Below are 27,256 nucleotides of genomic sequence, written 5' to 3'. Positions count from 1 at the left end.
TCAGTGCAGATGTGAAATTGTTTTTGAAATATTGGTGGCTCTTATAACTTGTGTTCTTTTTTTTTAAGAAGCTTTTCTTTGGTTTGATGCTCACTGAGGGTAGAAAGAAAGCCCAAAGGAAAAGATGCAAGGGTCCTATAATGCAATGACTTCCTCCGCCAATGCATGGGTGCAAAGTCACAAAGTCACAGATGGCTCGTTTGGAGACCCTGAGTTCTTCATTCTAGACTGTAGAAGTCATCAACATGCCTCGTGGCAGAAGGCTCTGGTAAAGGGAGCCCAGGCTTTGAAGCTAACTGTCTTGGGTTTCATGGCCATCTCTCCCACTTCTTTGGCTAAAAGACCAGCAATGGGCAAGCTCGTCCTCAGTTTCCTCAACTTGAGCAATGTCAAATCCTATTTCTTAGGGTCTTGGGGTGGATTGTGGAAGTTGGCGGGGTGACTACTTAAGGTCCTTTCCAACCCTGAGCTTCTGATTCTGAAGATTGGAGTCTACCTCCAACATCATGATTGTCTCCTCTTCTACCTCCTCTATCTTCTTTTCCATTATCATCATGATCATCATCATCATCATCATCATCATCATTATCAACATCATCATCATCAACATCATCATCATCATTATAATCATCATCATCACCATCCCTGAGTGTAATGTTGTCCTAGGCACTGCCCCAAGTCCTCTACCTATTTAAATTAATTGAATCTCTGTGGCGAACATGCAAGGTAGGTACTATTACTGACATCTCACAGATTAGGAGGCTAAGGCTCAGAGAAGTGAGAGGATTTGCCCAAGGTCAGCCCAGTTGGTAGGTGGCAGAGTAGAGATCAGAACTTCCAGGCTAGGATTTGTTTTATTTAGAAGCCATTCTGTCCCCTTGTTTCCAGTGCTTCTCAAGGAGCCCATGTTCCTCAAATAAACATGCCCTAGAATAAAGCTGTAGCCCCAAGGACCAGGCCTAGGAAAAGCTTTCGTGCAGACTCAGTGGTTACCAGCCTCCTCTTATAATCAGATAACCCTCCTGGAGAAGGAGCTTACGGGTCTTCTCCCCAAGTGGCCTATGCCTCAAGTGGATTTTACTCCCATAGGGGAACATTTGGGGTTTTTGCCTGCTCATTATCCATCCTCTCTTCTTTTGGTGACAGCACCCCAATTTTTCCTTTGGGGAAATCACCTCAACTCCACTCTTAAAGTGTTTGAGGAGACTACCTCCTCTCTTCTCTCCCCACTTCCCACCCACATGTTAGGGGTGGTCACATAATCTAGCTTTGATGAATCAGAGTGTTCTCATCAGACCAAAGTTCAAGTTGTCTAATGTTCTGCAATCCTAGGACTTTTGTGAATCTGTTGGGGAAGACAGCTTCTTTTCTGCTGGTGGGCTACTGGGTCCACTAAATGTGAAAGGCTTTCTGAGAAGCTGAGGCAGAGGGGTGACGGAAGACACACGTGAGCACCTGGATCCATCAGTTCCTGAAGCCAGTGCTGTCTCCTGTAATGGGAAGAGTCATGACTGATATGCTTAAAATATACTGATTGCCCCACAAATTGTGCTAGAAAAAAATTGTTTCATATTTTCGTGTTCGTAGGAGATTGTCATCCCCACCCTCCCACCACAAGCTCAAACACTTTTTTGGTATGTAACTTTGGTTTGGAGACTGCTTCAGTTTGGCTCTTTTTGATGCAAGTAACTGTTAGTTACCTCCTGGAAAGGGAGACTCACTGAAGGAACTCCCTTGATGGGAACTGGAATTGGGGTTCAGGCAGGAACTGAGACAGCCCTGGAGCCGGAGGCTCTATGTGTCTCTGTGGCAGTTCTGTTTCTCTCTGCTCTTGTGCACTCTGTTCCAGTTTCATTAACTGGGGCCTCTGCCTTCTCATGAGTTCTGCTCCCTCAAATCTCCACGAGCAGATGGTCCACCACAGCCCTGACTCCAGCATGTGATATCCTTTCCATTTCGGTTCTCACTGGAAACTCCCCAAGGAGGAATAGGATTAGCCCAGCTCATCCCTTCCTGACACATCTCGGGTTGCTGGTTGGTCTGTGGATTCCTAGGCCTGCTGTCCATCTCAGGTCCCGACAGCTGTGCCTGGGGTCCTGGGTAGGTCTGATGCCATGCAGTATTGAATCAACTGTGCTGTCACGTGGCTCACTTAAGGCTTCCCCTTCAGGAGGAGCTGTGAGGGGGCCATGCTGGGGTTGACATCTCTGTGTGAAAGAAAGGCTCTATTTGGACCATACCTAATTGTCAGTGAGTCATAGGAACATTTCATGGGGGGCTCAAATTACTCTCATGGAGCTATAGCTGAAGTGGGAAGATGGACAATGGATGAGAGGACACTCCCATTTACACTAACCATGGTCAGTGATGAAAGATGAGTGACTGTCCTAGATAGCTGTGGGAGGGCCCATTGCAGAGTGTGCAGTCAAAGAAGGCTTGTTGGAGGAGACGTCATTTGAGCTAAAGTTTGACCAAAGGATCCAGATGGATCACTCTGGTAGGCAGAGAAACAGCATATCTAAAAGCCCCAAGTTGGAAATGAAACTGTATTTGAGGAACTAAAAATGATTTTGTGACTGGAACATTCTGGGTGAGAGAGAGAGAGTTTTAAGATGTAGTCAGAGATGGCCAGGTGCAGTGGCTCACACCTGTAATCCCAGCACTTTGGGAGGCCGAGGCAGGCGAATCATCTGAGGTCGAGAGTTCAAGACCAGACTGGCCAACATGGGGAAACCCCGTCTCTACTAAGAATACAAAAAATTAGCCAGGTGTGGTGGTGGGTGCCTGTAATCCCAGCTACTTGGGAGGCTGAGGCAGGAGAATTGCTTGAACCCAGGAGATGGAGGTTGCAGTAAACCGAGATCACACCATTGCACTCCAAACTGGGCAACAGAGGGAGACTCTGTCTCAAAAAAAAAAATGTCGTCAGAGATGTTAGCAGGACTCGTATCACACTTAGGTCCTGGTCCGACATCGATGTTTTATTCTGATTGCCACAGGAAGGTGTCGATAAGGATGATCCAATTTGTACTTTCAAGGCCTGTGGCCTTGGGAAAGTCATGTTATATCTCTGAGCCTTTTTTTCTCCTCTGTAAAATGTAGATGACAATTGAGCCAATTTTTGAAAGACCCTGTAAAGATTAAATAAGAAAATGGCTAAATAAGATAAACCTGTTTGAAAACAGCTGCGTCTTGGCAGACATCTGTAAAGATTTCCTTTCTTCTTTTTTTTAGAAAAGAAACAGGAAATTGTCATCCATCAGCAAACTCTCTTCTCCCTTGACCAACCTAGGTACGTTTTGGACTCATGGTTTCACTTTTCTATTCTCTCAGCTTACACCCAGATTTGGCTATTGTATGCTCTCTTCTCATTCGTGTGTGTGTGTGTGTGTGTGTGTGTGTGTGTGTGTGATGGAGTCTCGCTCTGTTGCCCAGGCTGGAGTGCAGTGGCACAATCTCAGCTCACTGTAGCCTCCACCTCCTGGGTTCAAGCAGTTCTCCTGCCTCAGCCTCCCGGGTAGCTGGGATTACAGGTGCCTGCCACCATGCCTGACTAATTTTTGTATTCTTAATAGAGACGGGGTTTCACCATGTTGGCCAGGCTGATCTCGAACTCCTGACCTCAAGTGATCTACCCGCCTCAGCCTCCCAAAGTGCTGGGATTACAGGCATGAACCACCATGCCTGGCCCCTCCTCATTCTTTTGTTGAGAACTTTGCACATAGACTGTTTGGGAGTATTCCATCTCATAAATCTTTTGCATTGTTCATCATTCTGAATCCCATTTCCATTACTTCAGCCCTTCTCGGGCAGCGTTCCTTACCCTGTTTAGCATTTATGTCACTTGCCTTAAATAGACCTTCTCTTAATTTCATCTGAACTGTTATGCTTTATGGAGATTTTTAGCTGAATGGGGGAGGTTGTGATTTTATCGTTAACCCCATAGGGAGACAGATCACATTTGTGAGGATATGTTGGAGAGAACCTTGGAGTCAGAGAGAACGGGGTCCAAGCTCTTGTGTTCCTTTTTTCTGGCTGTCAGGCCCTGGGCAAGGGACCTCACCAGTCTGACTCCCAGTTTCCTCATCTACAAACATGAGGATATAAATAGTGCTGACCTTGCTGGGTTATTGGGCCTGGTCTTCAATGATGTTAGTTCATGTCTCTGTCTACTGCTCCCTCCACCCCCTGCCTCATGCCTTGTTCTTTGACCTTGGCATTGATGATCTTTGGTCTGATTCTTGGCATGCACCTTTTCAGAATCCATGAGCCTCTATAAGCAGCTATTCATGTTCCATGCATTGTGGTCTTTGGGATTAGGCTGACTTGGGTTCCAATCCCAATTCTCCTGCTTAGCACTTGTGTCACTTGAACTCTTGGAGACTCACTTTCCTCATGGGCCAGTGGGAGATATTATGAGTATTGCTATGGCTGGAATGTGTGTCCCCTCCAAAACTCATATTGAAAGTTAATCCCCAATATGGCAGTATTGACAGGTGGGGCCTTTAAGAGGCCATTGGGTCATGAGGGCTGTGCCCTCATAAATGGATTAATGGGTTATCATGGGAGTGGGACTGTGGCTTTATAGGAGGAGGAGAGACCTAAGTTTCCAAGCTCAGCCCCCTCACCATGTGATGCCCTGAGCTGTCTTGGAACTCTGCAGAGAGTCCCCACCTGCAAGAAGGCCCTCACCAGATGTGGCCCCTCTACCTGGGACTTCGCAGCCTCCATAACTGTAAGAAATAGATTCCTTTTCTTTATAGATTGCCCAGTTTCAGATATTCTATTATAAGCAACAGATAATGGACTAAGACAAGTACCAATCTCTGAAGTTATCACAAACATTGGCTGAAATAATATTCTGGAAACACTTAGTGTAGAGCCTGGTATATTGTAAGTTGATCAATAACAGGTATTGCTATTACACGTTATAGGAACACTAGACTCTAAACCCCTGGAGGCAAGGACTGTGTTTCTTCATCTTTGTACACCTTTATCCTTGAAAAGGGCCTGAAACACCGTGGGCCCTCTGCTGGTTTCAGATCCTTCCATCTCCTGTAACAAAAACAGAGCTGCTTTGCGGCCAACTTGGCCAGAACACTGGCATCTCCATAAAATCCTACCTGTTACACAAATGCCACTTTCTAAGATCCTAGAGACAGGGTGGGATCATGAAGTGAAATGCCTCAGGACTTCATTGAGTGACCCAACTGCCAGTTGCTGTTGGGAGGATGGGGAAGGTAGGCGGAAGCCATGACCCCAACGGGGGCTTCTCTAAAGGGAGGGGCCTTGCTCCAGAGCTGGATATCTTATTTATGTGTTCTCATCTCAATATTTTTCTGAGAACCTTCTTAGAATTTCACTGGGAGTCAAAAAACACATTTTGCCAAATTCAGAGGCCTTGTAACCACAGGGCCTCAGCCTAGTGACCAAACCGAGACCAAACAGTAACCTTCTGGTGCTGTTTACAGCTGGCAAAAGACCACTTTGGGCTTCACAGTAAAAAGAGTTAGAAAATTGTATGAAAAGGCTCAGAAGACTCACGGACATCAAATAGCTCTAACCAAACCAATGTAATTAGTTAAGTATAAATGAATCAGAACCATATGGCTTAAATGCTAAAGGAAAAAGAGTTGGAGGAAAAAATGTCCTTTGGGATTTAATCAAACAAAAATTGCTGGAAAAATCGTTGATGTCCACCAAGCTCAGACCCCAACTGGGTGCCCTCCAATCCTGCTTTAGCATTTCTCTCCTTCCCAAGGTACTCGCCGTGAAGCAAGGGTGACTTCTGGGTCCTGCTCTCTTGATGCTGGGCGTCATAGGGATGGAGTAGGTGTGGAGTGGGCACTAAGGCTCAGGGAATCTGGGGAGCACTGAGAAGGGGTGCCCAAGTCAGCCCTTGGCAGACTGGGAATGGCTTCCCTGTGGAGATGAAACTGAGCCAGGATTACAAGTAGACGAGGGATTGTGGGGCTGGGGTGGAGTGGGCATTTTGGAGGAGGCAGTGGCGTATGCACGTGCACAGAGGATAGACGAAACCTGGGACGATCATGGAACTGCAAGAAATTTGGAGTGGCTGGTTCTCAACTCATGCCTTCCTTCCCTGGCCACCCAATTAAAGGCACACGGCCTCTTCCATTCACTCTCAATCACATCGCCCTGTGGCATTCTCCTAGCAACACTTTTCACAGAAAGAAAGAAATGCTCTCATCTCTTTCTTTCTCTCATTGTTATTTACATTCCCTGGCATGTAAGCTTCTTAAGAGAAAGGCTCTTGTTTGTCTTGTCCCCCCACTGTGCACTGTGGTTCTAGCAGCTAACACAGCATCTGACTTGGAGTGGCTGCCCAGTACGCATTTGAAGAATGAATGAATGGAAAGTGAATGAGCGAATGGCTGGAGAGTAGAAGACGTGAGGGATGGGGAAAGAAGAAAGACTGGAGAAGTGGGCAGGTGCCAGGCCTGGAAGACTGTACGTGGTGCTAAGAGGCCCCTGAAGGTAATGGAAAGCCAATCAAGGGTTTCTAGGAGGATGTGATGAGGATGCGATAAGGTAACACTGTGTTATGTTGTTGGGAATCAGTGAAGGTGGGAAACCTGGAACCCTGGAGAAAATGAGTGACAACCAAATCCTACGTTTGTTTGGTGTTTCCCCATCATCCCTCAAAGGGTGTGTAAGATAGTGAGCCATGTAGAATAAGTAATTAATTAATGCTGCGGGTTAATAAGGGGTAGATGACTCTCAATTGCTACATGCAAGCTGTTATTTTCTCATTTAGAAAAAGGATCTTGTGGCTCACTGTGGAAAATCATCTTCCAGAAAAAAGAAAGAGACATGTATGTCGGCTCTGTCTAGAATATTTTCTCTGAACCAGAATCTCTTTCCGTAGGGTAGCTGCCCTTGGCAACTCTCGGGTTACAAGAAGCTGGGCAGGAGATTCCTGTGACATTTCAGCAGAGTCACGAGTGGGTGGGATGGGGAAGCTCCGAGCTGCAAAATAGGTAAGTTGCTCAATGTCCCTGGAAAACCTCCGAGGACAGAACTGAGTGTGATTTGGGGGAGTATTTTAGGTTCAGAGACATCTTTATGTTAGGCGAGAAATTCATGCCCCAGGCTCGTGGAGTTGCTCATAACAGTGTGTTATTGCTGGAAGCCCCAGAGGAGCTTGGACTCAGCTCCCTTAACAGGGGGCTGAGCCTCTCTGAGAAAGCTGTTTACTTCCCCAGACACATCAGTCTCACTTACCCATGTTTATTGCTTCTGCTCCTCTGCTTTACCCTCCAGGCCTCAGGTGCAGGAGAAGCCAGTCCTCTTCTCTAAACAGAAGACACTGCAATCACCGTAGCTAGATCTTCCTTAGTGTTTGCCATGTACCCGCTCTCGTTCCAGGCGTGTTCTAGGTGTATCATCTAACTGGGCCTTCAGAGCTCGGAAGCTCAGAGAGCTGAAATCACTTGCTCAAGGTCACACAGTCAGTACAAGTGGAGGTTTGAGCACTGCGCCTCTTAGAGTCCCTCACCTCAGGTGATTTTAACCCTTACATATGGAGCTTGCCAGAAACTCAAGCCCACCCTTTTCCTCCACACCATGTAACTCTGCCCTGGTTTTATCAAGAAGCACCTGCCTTCTCTTCTGGATTTAAATAGTAACGTTTGTGGTGAGCATTTGTGGGCTTGGGACTGTTCAGTGGCCAGCAGCACTTCCATTCCCTATGGAGACCCACCCTCCATTGTGTGCCATCACGGCACAGTGGGTGATGAACTTGCCCCTTACACAGAAGCACAAACACCCAGTTCTCCCCCTCTCTTCTCCAGCTGCAACCAAACGGTATGCACATAATCCAGGCTAGGGTAGCCACATGTTCCCTCCAGGACTTGGACCCTTGAGTGAGTGATTTGGGGCCGGGAGGAGCGGCTGGAGGCTCTCCAGGCCAGCGGCAGCGGTGGCGTGCTGGCCACCCATTCTCGTGACCTTGCTAAGGCCCCTGTTGCTTAACTCTCTGGCAAGCCCTTGGTTTCTGGCCATTTTCCAGACTTCATCACTCTTCTCTGCCAATTCTATGAGCCCCTGATAGCCTTCCAATAAATTCCACTTGATTACCACATGGCTTGCAATCAAGAACCCAGCATAACACACAACCACTTATTAAATACTAAGTAAGAGCCAGACACTTGACATGTGACATCTTGTCAGATCCTCAAACACCCCGGTGAGGAAAGCGTTATTATCCCTGTTTTCCAAATGAGGACACTGAGGCTCAGGGAGCTGGGTGATGTGTCAAAAGTTGCCCAGCTGCAGAGTGGCAATGCTGGAATTTGAAGCCAGGCTTTTCTGATTCTGAATTCCATGTTTTCTTACTTGCCTTTTTCTTCTGCTCCAGCTTGCAGTGCCTCGGAGAGGTGGCGCTGGCTAGCCTGGGACTTCCAACATACAGCCTACATTGATGGCCTGAGACTTGTGGCAAAAAAGACTTTCAAAATCTAATTTGCTCACATACATGAACACCTGCCAGGAAGGAATTTGAGGCCTTTGTTCTAAACATGGAAAAGCTGAGTTCATTTGCCCCAGAGGGGGCACCTGCAGGGAAAAGGAAAAATGGTTTTAACCCTTTCCTTGAGTCAGAAAATGAGGCCACCAGATTCTCCTTTCATCCTTCAAGTATCAGAAAGGTCTGTGCTGTGAATTCCACAGATGAGATTCATTGCAAGATGTGAGGGCAGAGGAAATCCATGGAAATGGTGAGTTCTTTCATATTTGTGCCTTTCTATTGTCAGTTTGGGGATATTTGAGAGAAGTTTGAGCTGCGTATGAAGAACCCATTTACTTTTATGCAGCTTTCTGGGGGAAATTTTGGAATTCCTCAAATCCAAGAATTTTGAGATTTTAGAACCTCCAAGAGGCCTGACCTGTTGAACAATCCCCCAGCCTTCATGCCCCAACCGCCTCTCCAGTGACTCCTCATAACTATACTTTATTTTTTTCTTTATTCTCTTTTTTCGAGACAGGGTCTCACTCTGTCATCCAGGCTGGAATGCAGTGGTGTGATCATAGCTCACTGCGGCCCTGATCTCCTGGGCTCAAGTGATCCTCCCGCCTCCGCCTCCCAAGTAGCTGGGACTATAGGCATGCCACCACGCCCAGCTAATTTTCTATTTTTTATTTTGTAGAGTTGGGTTTTCACCATGTTGCCCAGGCTGGCCTCGAACTCCTGGGCTCAAGCAATCCTCCCGCTTTGGCCTCTCAAAGTGCTGGCATTACAAGTGTGAGCCACCACGCCCAGCTTTGTACTTTCTTAATGATGTGAAAAGACATCTGAGTAAATCTGTAGTTGAGAGTGCAGGAAAAAGAAACCCTATCACACACTCTTTTGTCAACCGAATTGCAGAAATCCACATTCAAACTGGATGCATGCGTTCAGCAACTGGAAGCTGAGTTCATATTTCATTGCCCAACTACCCTGACCACTTGGGAATCGCAGGTTTGGAAGGACCCACAGCCATTCTGTGGAAATGGATCTGCTTTCAGGACCGAATCTCAGACTTCTTGGGGAAGGTTTCAGTGGCTGCCTTTGCTGTGCAGACCTGGAGATGGGTCTGATGATCGGACACCTGAATTATCTGTGTGGCTGAGTTTCAAGAAGACCTGCTGGGGTGAAATGAAAATGGTGCCTACTAGAAGCCCCAGTGGCTTTGCTGGTGGAGGTGAGCATAGATCCTAGAACTATATCCTGATGCTTCTCACCATGTGGTCAAGCTCTGGGTAGTGTTTGGGCTCCCATGTATATGTGAAGTTCATTCTTTTTTTATAGGGTGGCAAACATTGAGCTCTATCTACCCCATAGTAATAAAGGATGGCTTTAAAGAACAGAAACCCATTTAAAATCACTCATATAAAAGGGTGACTAACTGAGGATTAAGAAGGGGATTCTCATCAGAAGAAAGCACAGAGAGTAAAGCTCAACCTGTGGGAACTAGAAAGCAGGCTGACAGCTCGTCTTCCCATTTCTCCCTTTGTGGTCCCATCTCTGCTCTCTCTGGGAGGCAGCAGGCCAGCCTCCCTGCCTCTTTGTGGTTTCTTTATCTTTTTCCTTTTTCTTTCTTTCTTGCTTTTTTTTTTTTTTTTTTTTTTGAGATGGAGTTTCACTCTTGTTGCCCAGGCTGGAGTACAATGGTGTGACCTTGGCTCACTGCAACCTCCGCCTCCTGGGTTCAAACAATTCTCCTGCCTCAGCCTCCCGAGTAGCTGGGATTACGGGCGCCCACCACCATGCCCAGCTATTTTTTTGTATTTTTAGTAGAGATGGGGTTTCACCATGTTGGCCAGATTGCTCTCGAACTCCTGACCTCAGGTGATCCACCTGTCTCAGCCTCCCACAGTGCTGGGATTACAGATGTGAACTACTGTGCCTGGCCTGTGGTTTCTGTGTCTCCACAAGTTTGGCCTCCACCAAGATTTTGGCACCACCTCCTGCCTCATCTCCGTATGACTCTACAAGTTCAGCACCATCCACCAAGGCTGCTGGCTCTGGGGCTCTCTGATGCTTTTGGTGGGGACAGTGTATCGGTTATCTGTTGCCACACTAATGCTGTGTAACAATCATTAACACTTCAGTGTCATACAACAATAAACATTGATTTTCGCCCACTAGTCTAAGGGTTGCTAAGTGGTTCAGCTGCGTTGACCTGAGCTTGGTGGGACTTGCTCATGTATCTGTGGTCAGCTTTGGGTTAGCTGGGTGGCTTTGTAAGTCTTGGATAGGTGCTCTCATATGTCTGGACCTCACCTCAGACAAATGGGCTGACTTGGCGCTGCTCTATGTGGCTTATCCTCCAACAGGCTAGCTTGCTCATGTCCTCATACAGAAGCAGAGATGCAAGCAAGTGAGAAGGTGGAAGGACTCAGGTCTTGGGCCTTACTCTGAGAACTATAACACCATTCCTTCTGCTGCATTCTCTTGTCTAAAGTAAGTTACAAGGCCAATCCAGATTCAAGGGCGGGGGAAACAGGCTTCACCTCTTGATGAGAGAAGCTACAAAGTCACATTACAAAGGGCATGGCTACTGGGAGGCATGAGGACTTGGGGTAATAATTACTTGTGTAATTGTTCTGTCACAGACAGGGGATCTGATTGGCTCTCAGCAGGCCTGTGGATTAGTTCCGTTTGGTTCAGGTGCTATCTGAGGTTTGGAGGTGTGTGTACATGGAGTTGGGGAAGGGTCAGAAGAGATAACAGCAGCCCCAAGAATAGAGTATTTAACTTTGGCACAAGACACCCACTGTGTGTTATATTCCTAATCAGATTAATTGGTTGAGGAGCGGGTTTCAAAGAAAACCGAACTGGGCCAATCACAGACTACCCTAAGGCTGTTATTTAAGCCACTCTGATAGGCATTTACCCTTTCCTTCTGAGTTGGGGCCTTAGATGAGGGAAGTTCATAGTTACAGCAGCCGTTTTGCCATCTTGCAAACTCAGGAGGCCAGAGTGGAACATAGAGACAGAGAAAGACCAGCTCCCAGGGTCTAAGGTGCTGAGTCAAGCCATGCATGAAACCATCTGAGCCTGGACTCTTTATTGACACACATTTTAGCTTAGCCCATTCTAGGTTGTGTTTTCTGTCACTTTCTACCTAATGGGTCTTGACCGGGGTCCTGACCAGGGTCCTGACCAATTGCCACCTTTTTGGGGACAAGGTCTCGCTCTGTTGCCCAGGCTGGAGTGCAGTTGCACAGTCACAGCTCACTGCAGCCTCAGTCAATATTTCCAGGAAAGTGGCAGACATGTTGATTACATGAGTGTAGACTCAACGTTTTAAGGATTAAACCATCACTAGTTCTGGGCCTATCACCATATATCACTGCAGAAATAAAGCCGATATACTTGGATGTTTGCATTGCGTTATATAACTGCTAAAGCCTATTTAAAAATATCTCCTCATTATTATTAATGTAAATTATCATATAGCTCACATTTCCCTGGACACCGTGGATATTCCTGATATAGGGTAGAAAACAAACAAAAAACAGAACTTTGCCACTCATCAGGAGCTCCCCATCTCTTAGTCTCATCTATCTTATCCATAAGGAGAGAGCTGGGCAAAAAGCTAGCCGAGTTACCTTCTGTGTGAGTGGGTACACAGCTCCTTCCCATTTCTTCTGCCTACAAGAACAATAGCTGCTATTAGGTGCTTACCCTGGGCTAAGTACCTTACATGCATTATCTCTTCATTGCATGTATCAAAATGTGTAATTGCATGCTTTTTGACTTTTAATTTTTTTTTTCCTGGAGACAGTGTCTTACTCTGTCACCCAGGCTGGAGTGCAGTAGTGTGATTTTGGCTCACTGCAGCCTTGACCTCCCGGGCTCAAGTGATGCTCCTGCCTCAGACACCCAAGTAGCTGGGACTACAGGCATGCACCACCATGCCCTGCTAGTGTTTTGTATTTTTTGTAGAGATGTGGCTTCACCGTGTTGCCCAGGCTGGTCTCAAACACCTGGGCTCAAGTGATCTGCCTGCCTCAGCCTCCCAAAGTGCTGGGATTACAGGTGTGAGCCACTGCACCTGGCCGACTTTTAAGTCTGGTGTAATTTCAAACTTATTGAGAAGTCACAAGAATGATGTAAAGAATCCTTGAATAGATGAGTTCATGTCCTTTGCAGTGACATGGATGAAGCTGGAAGCCATCATTCTCAGCAAACTAACACAAGGACAGAAAACCAAACACCGTGTGTTCTCACTCATAGGTGGGTATTGAACAATGTGAACACTTGGACACAGGGCAGGGGGTGTGGGGCTGAGGGAGGGATAGTATTAGGAGAAGTACCTAATGTAAATGACGAGTTGATGGGTGTAGGAAACCAACATGGCACATGTATACCTATGTATCAAACTTGCACGTTGTGCACATGTACCCTAGAACTTGAAGTATAATAAAATAAATAAATAAATAAAAAATAAAAAAAGAATCCTTGAATATTCTTTACCATGATTCAGCAATTGTTTACATATAGCCCCTTTGCTTTGTCATTCATTTATTTATTCATTCATTCTCCTTTCTCTCTGCATATATATATATATATATTATGTCACTTTGTCCCTAAATACTTCAGTGTGTCTTGCTTGTCTAAGAAAAAAGGTGTGCTCTGATATAACAACAATGCAATGATCAAACTCAGGAAAATTAACATGAGTATAATTCTGTCATCTAATCCACAGACTACATTCAAATCTTATCAGTTGACCCAACAATCTAGTTGTTAATAGCCGTTTTTTCCCAGTCCAGGAGCCAATTCAGGACCAGGATTGCATTTATTGTCATGTCTTTCAGCCTTCTTTAATATAGAATAGGCCCTCTGTCCTTCCTTGTCTTCCATGCTTATCACCCTTTTGAAATACAAGACAGTTACTTTGCAGAAGGGCTCTAAATTTGAATTTATCTCCTGGTTCCTAACAATTATATTCACATTATGCATTTCTTGGCAAGAATACTACCAAAGTGATGTGTATTTTTCAAGGCCTCAAACTGGGAAGCACATGGGGTTCATTTGTCCCAGTGTTGGTGTTGTTACTTCTGCTCACTTGGTTAAAGAGCTGCCTACCAAGTTTCTTCACTATAACATTCCTCGTGAGAGGAATTTATGTTGTTGCATGTATTAGTAGTTTGTTCCTTTTTTGTGCTAAGCAGTACTCCATTTTATAAGTATACCATACTTTGTTTATTTATTCTCCTGTTGAAGGATATCTGGGTTATTGCCAGTTTGGGGCTATAATGATGAAAGCTGCTATGAGGATTCATGTGTAAGTGTTGTTGTGAACATATATATTCATTTTCTTGGATAAATACCTAGAAGTGGAATTGCTGGATTATAGGGTGGATATATATTTAACTTTTTTCATGTTTTTTGTAGTAGCCTTACTGAAGTATAATTCACATATATTTGTTTATAAGAAACAGGCAAATCATTTTCTGATGTAGTTGTACCATTCTGTATTCCTACCAACAATGTATGAGCATTCCTATTGCTTCACATCCTAGCTTACATTTAAGGTTGTCAGTATTTTGAAGTGTAGCCATGCTAGTGGCCATGTAGAGGTATTAATATCTCATTGTTTTAATTTGCTTTCCTCTGGCTGACTAATAATATTGAGTAGTTTTTTCTATGTTCAAAGGTCATTTGTTTATCTTTCTTTGTGAAATGTCTTTTTGAGTCTTTTGGCAATAAAGTAATTAAAATATTTTTGTTATGGAGTTGTAGAAGTTCTCTGTATATTCTGGATACTAATCAGTTGTCAGATTTGTTTTTGCAAATATTTTCTTAGTCTTGTGTGTGGTGGGAAATAGGGGTCATTTTTTTTCTGATATAGATAACTAGTTGTTGCAGCACTTGTTAAAAAAATACTTTCTTTTCTCCAGTCTTTAGAACCTTTGTTAAAAAACAAAAACACAACAACCTGTTGATTGTATCCATGTAGTTCTATTTCTGAACTCTCAGTTCTTTTCCATGGAATTGTCTGTCCTTTTGCCATTTGTTATGGTCAGAATGTTTATTCCTCCCACCCATTCATATGTTGAAATCCTAACCCTCAAGGTGATGCTATTAGGAGATGGGACCTTTGGGAGGTGATTAGGTCCCTCATAACTGGGACTAGTGCCCTTATAAAGGAGACCCCAGAGGGCTAATTTGTCCTCTCCACTATGTAAGGACACAGCAAGAAGACACCAGACACTGAATTAATGCAACCTGAACAAAATCTATTGAGATTATGATTGGGATCACGTTGACTCAGTAGATTTGTTCAGGAAGAACTGAAAACTGATTATGAATCCCAAGTCTTCCATTTCATAAGCATGGCATATCTATCCATTATTTAGTTAAAAATATTTCTCTTAGCAATATTTTGGTGTTTAGTGTAAGGGTCTTACACACCTTTTGTTAAATTTATCCCTAAGTATTTACTTTTTTGATACTGTTGGAAATGGGCTTTCTAAATTTCATTTTTCAATGTTTGCTGCTAATATATAGACATACAATTGATTTCGAATATTGACTTTGTATCCTATGACCTTGCTAAATTCACTCATAGTTCTCAGAGTCATTTTATGTATTTCTTAGGATCTTCTATATTAATAATGATGTCACATTTAAACAGAAGTAATTTTACTTGTTTCCTCCTTCTTATCTTTGTGGCCTATTCTTGAATTATTACACTGGTGAAGATATTCACTGATACGTTGAATATAAGTGTTGAGAGAGACATTTTTGTCCTGTGCCTGATCTTAAGAAAAATATTTAATATTTCACCATTTACTATAATCTTACTTTTATGCTTTCTATAGATAACCTTCATCAGATTGAAAAACTTCTTTTCCTAGTTTGCTGAGAGATTTTACAATGAATGGGTGCTTAATTTTGCCAATGCTTTTTATTCATCAATTACCTTCTTTATTCTGTCAATAGAGTTAATTATGTTTATTGACTTTGGAATGTTAAACCAACCTTGCATTCTTGGGATAGACCCCAGTTGGTTATTATGTAATGTACTCTTTATGTATCACTGAATTCAATTTGCTAATATTTTATCCAAAGATTTTTGTGTCTATGTTTATGAGACAGATTGGTCTGTAATATTCTTTTCTTGTAATATTTTTGTCATATTTTGGTGTTAAGGTTATGTTGACTTCTTCAAAGTTTATAAAAGATTGATATTACTTTTCCTTAAATGATTTTTAATATTCACCAGTGAAACTATCTGTGCTTCAAGTTTTCCTTTTGGGAAGGGTTTTGATAATAATTAATTTTCTGTGTATGTAGGGATATTTGAATATTCCATTTTATCCTGCAAAGTTATAATGACATTTTTAAAAGGAATTTGATAATTTCATCTCAATTGTGGAATTTATTGCAATAAAATTTTTCAAAATATCCTTTTATCATTTTGATGTATTTAGAGTTTGTACTTATATACTCTCTTTTATTCCTGATATTGGTAATTTGTATTTTCTTTTTTTCTTGGTGAGAATTGCTAAGGATTAATCAACTTATTTAGTCTGTTTAAAAAAGCAACTGTTGGTTTTGTTAATTTCTTCATTGTTTGTCTGTTTTCTATCTCACTGAACTCTGTACTTATTTTATCTTCTATGTGTTTTGTATTTAACTTGCCTGCCTTTCCATAACATTTTAAGGTGGAAACTTAATTGATTTTAAACTTTTCTCCTTTTCCATAGAAGCACTTAAATCTACACATTTCCCTGTAAGTGATAATTTAGCTAAATCTAATAAATTTTGATATATTGTATTTCTGTTATTACTCAGTTCAAAATACAATTTGATTTGGTTTATTACTTCTTCTTTGAATATAATGATATAAATGTGTTGCTTAATTTCCAAATATTTGAAGCTTTCTAAATACTGTTATTACTTTCTAATTTAATTCTAGTGTCATCATAAAACATACTGTTAGAGTACAATCTTTTGAAATCCTCTGACATGTGTTTTATGGGCCTGCATTTGGTTATTCAACAGTAGTTGGGTGTAGTGTTCTATAAATGTCAATTAGGTAAATGTAGTCAATAGTCTTGTTTAGGTCTCCTATATTTTTATGATTTCTGTCTATCACTTACTAAGAAAAAGGTGTTAAAATGTCCAACATGATTTTTGAATTGGTCTGTTTCTCCCCCTAGTTCTGTTAGTTTTACTTCATGTATCTGGAAACACTGTTAATAGGCTCATTCACATTTATGATTGTTACATCTTCCTGATGAATTGACTCTTTTATCATTTCTAAACACCCTTCTGTATTTCTGGTAATTGTCCTCTCCCTGAAGGCTAGGGTGTCTGAAATTAATATAGCAATCCGGTTTTTTTTGCTTGTGGTTTGCAGATATATCTTTTTCTGTTATTTTTCTTTCAAGCCATCTGTGTGGTTACAGTTAAGAACTCTTTTTTTGTAGACTGCATATAGCTGGGTCTTCATATATTCCACCTTTTAATGGAAGTGGTTTTTTAGTCTATTGAAATTTAATGCAAATATTGATATGGTTGGATTTTGGCCTATTACTTTTTTTACTTGTTCTACATATTTTTGTCTGTTTTTGCTCCTCTATTTTTCTTCTCCTATATTATTTGGGTTAGTCAAATACTTCTTAGAATCTCATTTTAATTTTTCTGTTGTATTTTTAGCTATATCTCTTTGTATTTTGTAGAAATTGCTCTGGGGATTACACTATGCATCCTTAAGTTATCAGAGACTATTGAATTAATATTGTATAAATTCCCATAAGAAACATTATTCCAAGATTATAGTTTAACCCTATCCTTTGTGCCATTATTATAATGTATATTGCATATACACATGTGTAAATCCCACAACATATGGGGTTTTTTTCTTTAAACTGCCATTAAAAAAATTAAGAGCAGAAAAAATAATCTTTTACACTCACATATTTATTATTTCTAGTGCTCTTCACTCATTCTTGTAGATCTGGGTTTCCACCTGATGTCCTTTCTTTTCATCCTGAAAAAGTTTAGTTTATCATTTCTTGTATTCTAAGCTGACTGGCAAAAAAAAAAAAACCTGTACATTTTTATTTACTTGTAAAATGTTTATTTTACTTCCTTTTTGAAGGATAGTTTTGCTTAAGATCCTGGGTTGACCACTTTTTTTTTTTCTTTCAGTATCATAAAGATGCCCTTCCATTGTCTCTGGTCTTTATTGCTTTTTGTGAGAAGTTAGTAATCATTTTTATAGTTATTCTTTTGCATAGTGTTATTTTCCTCTGGCTGCTAAAAAGATTTTCTATTTATCACAGCTGTTTCACTGTGATGTGGCTGGGTATAATTGTATTTATCCTGCATGTGTTTTCTGAGCTTTTTGTTTCATTTTCCACAAAATTACTAGGTAAACGTGTTACACAGGTAGATATATTTTTACAGGCTATTGAAGCTCTGTTTATTTTATCTGCTTTTCCCTCTCTTTTCTACAGATTAGATAATGCCTATGATCTATTTTCAAGTTCACTGATTCTTTATATTTTCATCTCTAATCTGCTGTTAAACCCACTCAGTAAATTTTTCATTTATATATTATCGTTCTTAATTCTAGAATTTCTATTTGGTTTTTAAAAATAGTTTTAGTTTCTTGGCTGAGATTCCTCAACTATTCTATCATTATGACAGTGTTTTTCTTTAAATCCTTAAACTTATTTCTAATTCATGCTTTGAAATGCTCTTCTGCTCATTCAAACATTTGAATTGTCTTGGGGATGGTTTCTATTGCCTGTTTTCTTCTCTTGATTACAACTCACACTTTCCCATTTCTTTGTATACCTAGTAATGCTTCATTTTATACTGGAGGGTTTTTTTTTTGAGACGGAGTCTTGCTCTGTCACCCAGGCTGGAGTACAGTGGCGCGATCTTGGCTCACTGCAAGCTCCACCTCCTGGGTTCATGCCATTCTCCTGCCTCAGCCTCCCGAGTAGCTGGGACTACAGGCGCCCAAAACCATGCCTGACTAACTTCTTCTATTTTTAGTAGAGACGGGGTTTCACTGTGTTAGCCAGGATGGTCTCGATCTCCTGACCTCATGATCTGCCTGCCTTGGCCTCCCAAAGTGCTGGGATTACAGGCATAAGCCACCACTCCTGGCCTATACTGGAGGTTTTGAACAGTACCTTGTAGAGCCTCTGGATTCAGTTATCTTCCTTTGAAGAGTGTTATTATTTTTGTTTCAGCAAGGCATTACTTTGGTTAAGTTCAAACTCCAAACTCAGTTTTTCTTGTGTTGAATAACAGCTGAACTGCTCAATTTCTCCAACTTCCCAGCTGTTGCTTTTTGCTAAGAACCTTGAAATCTTCCTTACACATGCACAGTGCATGAGTCAACAAGAATTTGAAGTAGAGTTTTTAATTTAGGTTTTTAGGGGTTCACATTTCATTGCTCCCTCTTTTTCCACATTTCTTCTTCACTTTCTACCTTTCTGGCAGCTCCAAACTGCATCCTCTGACTCCTCAAGCCAGCTGAGGCTTTTTGCTTGAGTTCTAGCCACTCTGGGATACATAAACTGGAAAGCATTTTAAGGCAAAAATGGAGTCAACCTCCTTCCAGTTTCTGTCTTCTTTTGGTAAAAAGGTAACAATTGCCTTCAAATTGTTGTTTTGTCCAGAGTGTGTATTGTGACTTGCAGGAAGGTTATTATACTACAGGTTACTCTCCTGGAAATGTAACTCCCTGTAATTGTATATCAATATGTTTATTTATTTAATGCCTGTCCTCCTCACTAGAGGAGGCTTCATAAGGGCAAGGACCATTTTAATTTTGTTCACTGTTACACTCCTGTTGCCTGATATTTAGTAGCCACTCAATAAATAACAGCAAGATGAATGAATGTTACTTAATTCTCACAACTCCCACATCATCAAGTATTCATGCTCTTTTTCTCTTTCCCTTATTTTCTCTACAGATTTGCTCCTCCACTGGCTCTTCTTGTAGACACACGACTGCTACAGTATCAAGGGTCTGATGCAGACATGACAATGTCAAGAGGAAGAGGAGAGCCTCGCTCTTCCCAGGCTTTTGCTTTTAAGAGCAGAAAAACTTTCCCCAGAGTTCCACCAGCTCACTTCTCATCTTACTTCTTTGGCCAGAACTGGCCCTTGTGCCCATATTGTCAGTCAAATGCCGACAAAGGAAAGGGGCCACTATGAGTGGTTTAGACTTGGATTGGATTTGTCCTTATTGGATTGTCCTTAAGTCCTTTGAAAAAGAAGTATACAACAGAATGAAATCTTGACTCAGCTTTCAAGAATAAAGAGGGTGAGATGACTGATGGATGGCTAGCAAAATCAGATGTGGGCTCTGTCCTCATGGAGCATACAGTCAGAAGGGGAAGATTTACCTAATTACACTAACAAACTTATAACTGTGGTCAGTGTTCTGAAGGAAAGGAAATCCAGTTGTATGGTAACGTATAACAAAGAAACTGAACTAGGATGGAGATGGGGGTGGTAAGTGTAGTTGGGGAAGCCAGGGACATGATCTGTAAGATGGCTGGCCTGGATTCAAATTCCACTCCACTTACTTGCTGTGTGATTTTAGATTAGTCGCTTCTCCTCTCTGAGCTCAACTTCATCTATAACAATCTTTCCTAGGGTTGTTAAAGGATTGAATGAGCCACTCTATGTAACCACTTGACACATATTAGGCACTTCAGTGGCTCCTTTTCCAGATTAAAGAAGGAGAAAACGTGTATGTTTGGAGTTAGCACAAGACAGGATGATTCCTCATGTTTGTTTTGGAAAACAAGTCTTAAACTCACAGCCATGACAGAGTCTGACATCATCAGACATCAGGCGTGTTAAGAATTGCACTCTTAATTGAAAATGTCCAGAGTTTGTGATTAATTGCAATCCTTTTCAGATCCTTTCCCTAAGAATTTAATTTTTCTCCCCACCCACCCGGAGGTCAGGCTTTTAATGTAACAAGTACAATCAATCTTCCACTGAAGATGGCCTCTCTCTAGTGCAAGCTGGAGCAGGACTCATCTGGATTAGAAGCCTAGACGGTTTGGAGTCACCTGGTGAGGTTTACGTGCACAGCTGGGGCCCAGCCTACCTAATTAGGACCAGAGAGTGGTTGAGAAGGGGACCGGCGCGTATTCTAGGCGCCCTCCTCCAGTGTCTGTTTCTAATAATGGCAGAAAGTAGCAGAGGCGGCGGGGTGAGCTTGGAGCGTGGTGACATCATCCCTCCAGCTGTTTTACACATCTGTGACATGGCTCATTAGGACTCTCTTAACACCTCATCCTTCCCTGCTCCACACAGCTCCAGTTGCATGAGAAAAGGTGCTCTTGCATGTGAGGGGCCCCAAGACTGGGGCTGACTTCAGGGTCAAAGATTCGCTTGGGCACTCTACCAGTCATCAGAATTTTCACAGAGACACCCCCCCAACACACACACCCGCAGCATGCGCTCCTTGAAAGTGCTAATAGCTTCAATATGAGGCTGGCACTTCTGCATGACTGTTGGTGTTCAGGGCCAGCCTAGTCTTGGGGAGTAGGCCATCTGTAGCAGCTGCAGAAATGTTTTTGCTTATTTTGAGCATTCTAAGTTTTTCCTAGCCATGAATAACAACAATCGAATAAATCATCCCACAGTGTGTAGGATGGTCGTTTTTTTGTTTTTTTTTTTCAGCAAGAACAACAAAAAATGACATATCATGTACTATGGATAATACACATAAAAAATTCCGCCATATTTATAGGCAGCAGTTAACTAACTATATTTAGATATTTGAAACTGTCTTAAATCAGATGAATGATAAAAGCTTCCTGGATTTCAGTGGAAAGCCTAAATGACTAAACCAAAAAAAAAAAAAAAAGTTTTATTACTATGAAGTATAGTGCATATTCTGAAATAAAAGATATGTGATATTTATAAAATAAAAAGAGAAACTTTGTCAATAGACAGCATCATTTAATAAAGCAGGGTCCCAGATTTACAGACCTTTGTTTGAGTTCTAAAATTTACTAGGAAGGAGGGTGCAGGGGTGGAAGCCGTTCATTGTAGCTCTTTAAATTTCCTCACTTTTGAATGGAGATGATAAAATGCCCCTCACAGGGTTTTTGAGAGGACTAAAAATATAAGGTATGGAAAGTGTTTAGCATTGTGCCTATCACAAAGTTAGTGCTTGAATATATTAGCTATTGTCATTAATACTATTGCTATTCTTATTTCTTCTACAACTGTTATTGTTGAAATGCGAAGTCAAAATGGTACATTTTTATCAACTATTAAGTGCTATCATGTTTCAATTAATACATAATGTTATTGATTAGAAGATGATTATAGTATTGTCTCTAAGGAAGAAAAAAGGCTGCCTGTTAAACCATGGTTTAACAAATTCTGGAGTACGGGCGCAGTGGCTCATGCCTGTAAGCCCAGAACTTTGGGAGGCCGAGGCTCACGAGGTCAGGAGTTGGAGACCAGCCTGACCAACGTGGTGAAACCCCATCTCTACTAAAAATGCAAAAATTAGCCTGGCGTGGTGGCGCACGCCTGTAATCCCAGGTACTCAGGAGGCTGAGGCAGGAGAATTGCTTAAACCCAGTAGGCGGAGGTTGCAGTGAGCCGAGATTGTGCCACTGCACTCCAGCCTGGGCGACAGCGACAGAGCAAGACTCCGTCCGCCCCCCCTCCCGCCCCCACCCTAAAAAAAGAATCAAATTCTGGAAAGCATCAATCATCTCTCAGGCCTTTGAAAATGATCTAATTTTGTAGATCAAACCCTCTGTGCTTGCAGGTAGGCTCACGAATGCAGAAAGTGCATGCTGTGAGCCATGCTGTACACCTCCTCATTGTCCATTTCTCTTCTGGTATCTCTCAAGGTGTGTGGTCAGGTTAAGAGATTGAGACTTAAGCCAGGCAGGTGTTACTTCCTCTCACCATGACAAAACCTGGGACAATGAGAAGAGGATAGATTCTTTCCTCCCGAGGGTGCTGAGGCAGGATCAGAATCTCTCCCTCGGGTCTGAAACAGATCATATAGAAGGTTCAAAGCTGCAAGAACCATTCTGAAACCATAAGAATCCTGAGAACGAAGCCCACCTCATGCTAATTGTGGAGACCAAGCTTATTTGAGTTTACTTGAGCCCTTGGATCCAGCCGTGCCTGAAGACTTTTTAATAACAGGAATAAAAAATTCTATTTTGGATAAAGCACTTTGAGTTGGATTTTCTATTACTTGCAGCTTAAAAGCTGAAATGGTCCTATGTGATAAGGGAATGAGACGATGATTTTGAGCATTTAATCTAACAAGAACAACAATACTGTGCCTGAATACCACAACAGGGAATTAGGTGTTGCCTTCTGACAGTATATAAAAGAACTCATTTCTATCAGTTTCCTGTAATACCCATCAGAATTTCTGTCTCAGAATTTAATTTTCTGAGTTGAGCTTTAATGCCATACATGGACAGTCATATGGAATTCCAGAATGTATTTATTATAAAAATATCACTGAAGATATTGTTACATGTATCACTCAGTGGTGCTTTCATAAGTAAACTTCTTTCAGAATTCAGTATTAGGAGAAACCTGAGAGAAGGATATACTCTTCTCCTCTTCTGAAAATATGTGAATAACTAATCTTACATTCCTGAGGCTGGGTGTGGTGGCTTATGCCTGTAATCCCAGCACTTTGGGAGGCCGAGGCAGGTGGATGGCTTGAGCTCAGGAGTTCAAGACCAGCCTAGGGAACATGGAGAAACCCTGTCTCTACCAAAAAAAAAAAAAAAAAAAAAACAACACCAAAATTAGCCAGACATAATGGTGCACACCTGTAGTCCCAGCTACTTGGGGGGCTGAGGTGGGAGAATGGCTTGAATCCAGGAGGTAGAGGTTGCAGTGGGATGAGATGATGCCACTGCACTCCAGCCTGCAGAACAGAGAGAGTCTCTGTCTCAAAACACCGAACAAAACAAAAAACAAATAAACACAAAGAACTAATCTTGTATTCCTTTTTGCTCTGGCTGGCTGGAAGCTCAGAACCAGATTAAAAGGTCAATTTCAAGTTATTCACACTACCTTGTGATTGGTTCATCTTCCTTTTCTTTGGTTCTTCTGTGTATCACACACATCACATGTTTTTGTTTTATACCACCCCAAATTCTTAATGGAAGAAGCATGTTATAAACAAACAAATAAAATGTGTCCATAATTATTACCATTGTAAAAGTGATTATAGAAGAGAAAGAGCTGGTAACTACGTTAACATTTTCTCTAAGTTGAAACTGAAAAAGTAGGCAGAGGCTCTCAAATCCAGGTATTGCTATGAATTATAGGAGCTTTGCATTTTCATTCTTCTGATCCACACAGCTCTCTGTTTAATCTAACAGCTGGGGTCCCTGAGGAGATGAATGCTTTGCTCCGTGGCCCAGGGGTAAAAAAGTGATATGAATCTGACGGGCTTTGGCTGCTTACTTGCTATCATGGGACCTTGGACAAGTCACTCAGCTTCTCTTGGTCTGTTTTCTTTGGTGTAAAAGAGGAAATGCTTGCTACAGGAAGCTGTCGTGGAGAGTGAAGGAGATTCCGGATGCATGGTATCTAGCACAGTGTCTGGCAGATTGAGCCTCCAAAGGCCAGGCTTTGTCTTCCTTATGCAGAGTGCCACCTGCTTTTCTGTACCAGGGGCTTCTGTCTCTTTACAGAGCCACACAGAGTCGGATGTGACTGCTGCATCATATTGGATTGCACTCTGGCCTTGTGTTGGTCGATCTTTACCCCTTAGCCTTCATCCAGAGGCAGCCCAAGAAATAGCTCCGCATATCCTGCATTCCGTTCTTGTAGGGCTATTGTGGAGACTTGGTCCTCTATGTGATTTAGGGTACCCAGATGAAGCTCTGCATGAATTTTTATTTCAGAAATAAGTGTTAAAGAGAAGCTTTGCTGGGAGTTATTTTCTCTTTACAATAAATATTAGGCAATTGATGCTCCCCCACCCCTACTTCGGCTGCTGGGAAACCCAAAAGAAAAAACCTTGAGGAGATAAATGACTTAAACTGAGCACCCAATCTCTGGAACCATCAAGGGACAAGTAAGCTTCACCTTCTGGCATGGAGACACTCGCGGCTGTGGGGGAGGTGGAGGGCCAGCGAAGGGCGGTGTCAGGAGGAAGAGCATGCCGTGGGAGAGCCCAGCAGCCCTCAACATTATTTTCTCGAAGCCTTGACATCTCCCCGGAATGTAGGATTTTCCTCCTCTAGATTTTGGTGATTGCAGACCATCCTATAGCCAACCAACCCCCAAGTGTGTGAGCCACCCCAGCCAGGATCAGCAGAGCCACCTGGATGGCACACAGCTGACTGCAGAGGCGTGAATGAGCCAAGACCAGCAGAACTCAAGAGTAATAATATATACTTATTGTTTTAAGCCATTGAGTGTAAGGATGATTTGTTGTAAGAACAATAGCTGATATACTCTCCCAGTGTCTGTAGTTATGGGGTATGCAGTAAGTGCTAAATAAATGCCTGTTTGGTGGAATGAGATAGTCTCGTTAAGAACAATAGCTGATACATTCTCCCAGTATATAATGAGTGCTACATAAATGCCTGTTTTGTGGAATGAGATAGCCTCATGGAATGGAATTGAGGATCTCTATTATTATGTGGCTTTAGGGTATTTCCTAGCTGACTTCAAAGTTTAAGGAGGGAATTAGAGAAGAGTGTATTCATTTGACTGTGACTCAGGAGACGTGGATGATAGTCCTAAACTGCTGCCTGTCTGTGGTATGTGGGTCACTTCTATTGTAGGCACCTCAGTTACCTGACCTACAAAATGAAGGAGAGAGCCAGGCTGGCATGAAAGTCTCCCAGAACCTTGGCCACCATCAAGCACGGAACCTGCCCTGCAAGGATGCGGCTACCGCCAGAGCCACCCCTCTATAGATGTCACAGTACCTTCCTACTGTCCCACACTGTGCTGGTTGCTCCTACCAAGGCAGTCTCTCCATTGTCCCTCTTCTTGGTGTCACCAGTTCCCCGCTGATAATATGGAGAGATGGCTGGTGGTGCGCTGGCTATGTACCCTGTGAGGGAGGTGGAGAAAGTGAGAGTCTGGCCTTTCTAGCTTCAGTAGAGGGAGGTGGACCCCCCTGTCTTTCACTAAGAATCATGAAATCGGAGTGCCCCAAACACAGGAAGGAGGCTCAGATGCTGGGCAGCTAAACATAGGAAGAAAAATATCCACTACGCAAAATCCTTCATAACATCTTGAGAGTCCGAGAAGATGCTCTCAACGGGAGTCTGTGAGCCTTGACGTGGGCTCAGCCAACCAGGAGCTCAGCAAACATTGTAACTTTTCAGAAGTTGCATTGACCTTCTTCGGGAACTGAGCGAAGACAGGGGTTTAAGAAAATCCACTGGGCCTCTTATCCCCCAATCCCTGTGGCCACTGGACAGGGTTCCAAGCACATGCTCTGGAAATATGGGGGCTGTGCACCAATCCAGGGTAAACCACCAATTGAACAGAGCAGCAATAAACCAGGCTGACGAGATGACTTCAAAAGCCAGAGCCTCTCAATTACTGAGAAATCAACTGGAGACATTAGTCAAGCAGAGCTTAAGGCAGGTAACATGCGAAAAAGAGTGCCCTTGGTCGTCAAAGCCACACTAGCTGAGAGGCAGGACACCCAGCAAGCCTCAGAAAGCCCCAGCCCAGAGTGCAAATGCAGACCCTCTGCCCTGGCTTCAAACACGAGGAATAGTCCACTTCTTTCCTGGCACCTTTTTCTCCAGACTCATCCATTATTCCTTCTCCCTTCACTTCTCAAGAATCCAGGCCAGGCGCAGTGGCTCATGCCTGTAATCCCAGCACTTTGGGAGGCCGAGGGGGGTGGATCACGAGGTGAGGAGTTCAAGACCAGCCTAGCCAAGATGGTGAAACCCCGTCTCTGCTAAAAATACAAAAAATTAGCCAGGCGTGGTGGCAGACACCTGTAATCCCAGTTACTCAGGAGGCTGAGGAAGAGAATTGCTTGAACCCGGGAGGCAGAGGTTACTGTGAGCCGAGATTGCGCCACTGTACTCCAGCCTCCATCTCAAAAAAAAGAAAGAAAGAAAGAAAGAATCCAGCATTTTACAAGGTGCTGAAGTGATCAGAATCTGTTTCCTCAAGTGTAAAAGGGGTCAATTAGGCCTACCAAGTGGCGTTGTCATGTAAGGTTGAAAAAACCTTGGGGAGAGGGCGACAGGTCCCTTTGGGAATCTGATGAAAACTGTTGGTCCTCTTTCTAGGGGAAAATGCACACATGCTCAAACAATTTTGCGTCTAATTTCGTGAACCTACTGAAGTTCGTCCATAGAAACCCAGAGGACCAGGGCATGAAGAACTTGTAAGCCATGCCATGGAAGGCAAGACTTCATCCAGAGGGCAGTGAGGATACTACAACAGGTAGGAATGACTTTCAGCTCAGTATAAAAGAGGTGCAGATAACTCTGGCTTAAGCAGGTAGAGATTCATTTTTCTCTCTTGTAAAAGAACCCAAAGTAGGCAACTGACAGTTAACTGATCTCCTCAATGTTGTTAACATCCCAGACTCTTTTTTTTTTTTTTTAAATCTCTCAGCTGCAGCCATCCTTAGTACCTGTTTCCATCCTCAGCATCTCCTTATGGTCCCTTCCTGGTCACTGCTGCTCCAGCCATCACATTAGCATTCCAGTCAGGAAGAAAGAGGAATGGGGATGGAGAAGGGCCAAAAGACCG

General features: G+C 42.8%; 2 long non-coding RNA genes across 7 annotated transcripts, besides 3 other annotated features; one reads left to right on the top strand and one right to left on the bottom strand.

The window, feature by feature from the left end:
• Nucleotides 2,548–2,627: an enhancer, noted in NCBI's record as "active region_23615". NCBI's record gives its function as "activates an Ori minimal core promoter by ATAC-STARR-seq in GM12878 lymphoblastoid cells {active_cell/tissue: GM12878}" and the evidence as "EXISTENCE:reporter gene assay evidence [ECO:0000049][PMID:35858748]".
• Nucleotides 2,688–2,757: an enhancer, noted in NCBI's record as "active region_23614". NCBI's record gives its function as "activates an Ori minimal core promoter by ATAC-STARR-seq in GM12878 lymphoblastoid cells {active_cell/tissue: GM12878}" and the evidence as "EXISTENCE:reporter gene assay evidence [ECO:0000049][PMID:35858748]".
• Nucleotides 2,788–2,847: an enhancer, noted in NCBI's record as "active region_23613". NCBI's record gives its function as "activates an Ori minimal core promoter by ATAC-STARR-seq in GM12878 lymphoblastoid cells {active_cell/tissue: GM12878}" and the evidence as "EXISTENCE:reporter gene assay evidence [ECO:0000049][PMID:35858748]".
• LOC105377723 (uncharacterized) lies at nucleotides 2,926–7,330 on the bottom strand. Its single transcript, XR_941215.1, has 2 exons — nucleotides 7,246–7,330; nucleotides 2,926–3,131 (listed from the first exon to the last, which is right to left on the bottom strand). It is a non-coding gene; the product is annotated as an uncharacterized LOC105377723 (long non-coding RNA).
• LOC105377724 (uncharacterized) lies at nucleotides 3,235–26,982 on the top strand. Of its 6 annotated transcripts, XR_941218.3 has the most exons (6): nucleotides 7,771–7,886; nucleotides 8,381–8,738; nucleotides 9,386–9,701; nucleotides 10,837–10,963; nucleotides 12,659–12,742; nucleotides 19,459–21,154. It is a non-coding gene; the product is annotated as an uncharacterized LOC105377724 (long non-coding RNA). The 6 variants fall into 6 exon arrangements; XR_001742980.2 differs by having other exon boundaries at nucleotides 3,235–8,738; XR_001742984.2 differs by lacking the exon at nucleotides 7,771–7,886 and having other exon boundaries at nucleotides 7,898–8,738; nucleotides 9,526–9,701.
• Nucleotides 26,983–27,256: the final 274 nt, after the last annotated feature.

The sequence above is a fragment of the Homo sapiens genome, chromosome 5 (assembly GCF_000001405.40).
Source record: "Homo sapiens chromosome 5, GRCh38.p14 Primary Assembly".
Taxonomy (NCBI): Eukaryota; Metazoa; Chordata; class Mammalia; order Primates; family Hominidae; genus Homo; species Homo sapiens.
The sequence above is the reverse complement of the archived record's forward strand: the minus strand, read 5'-3'. Positions and strand labels throughout refer to the sequence as shown.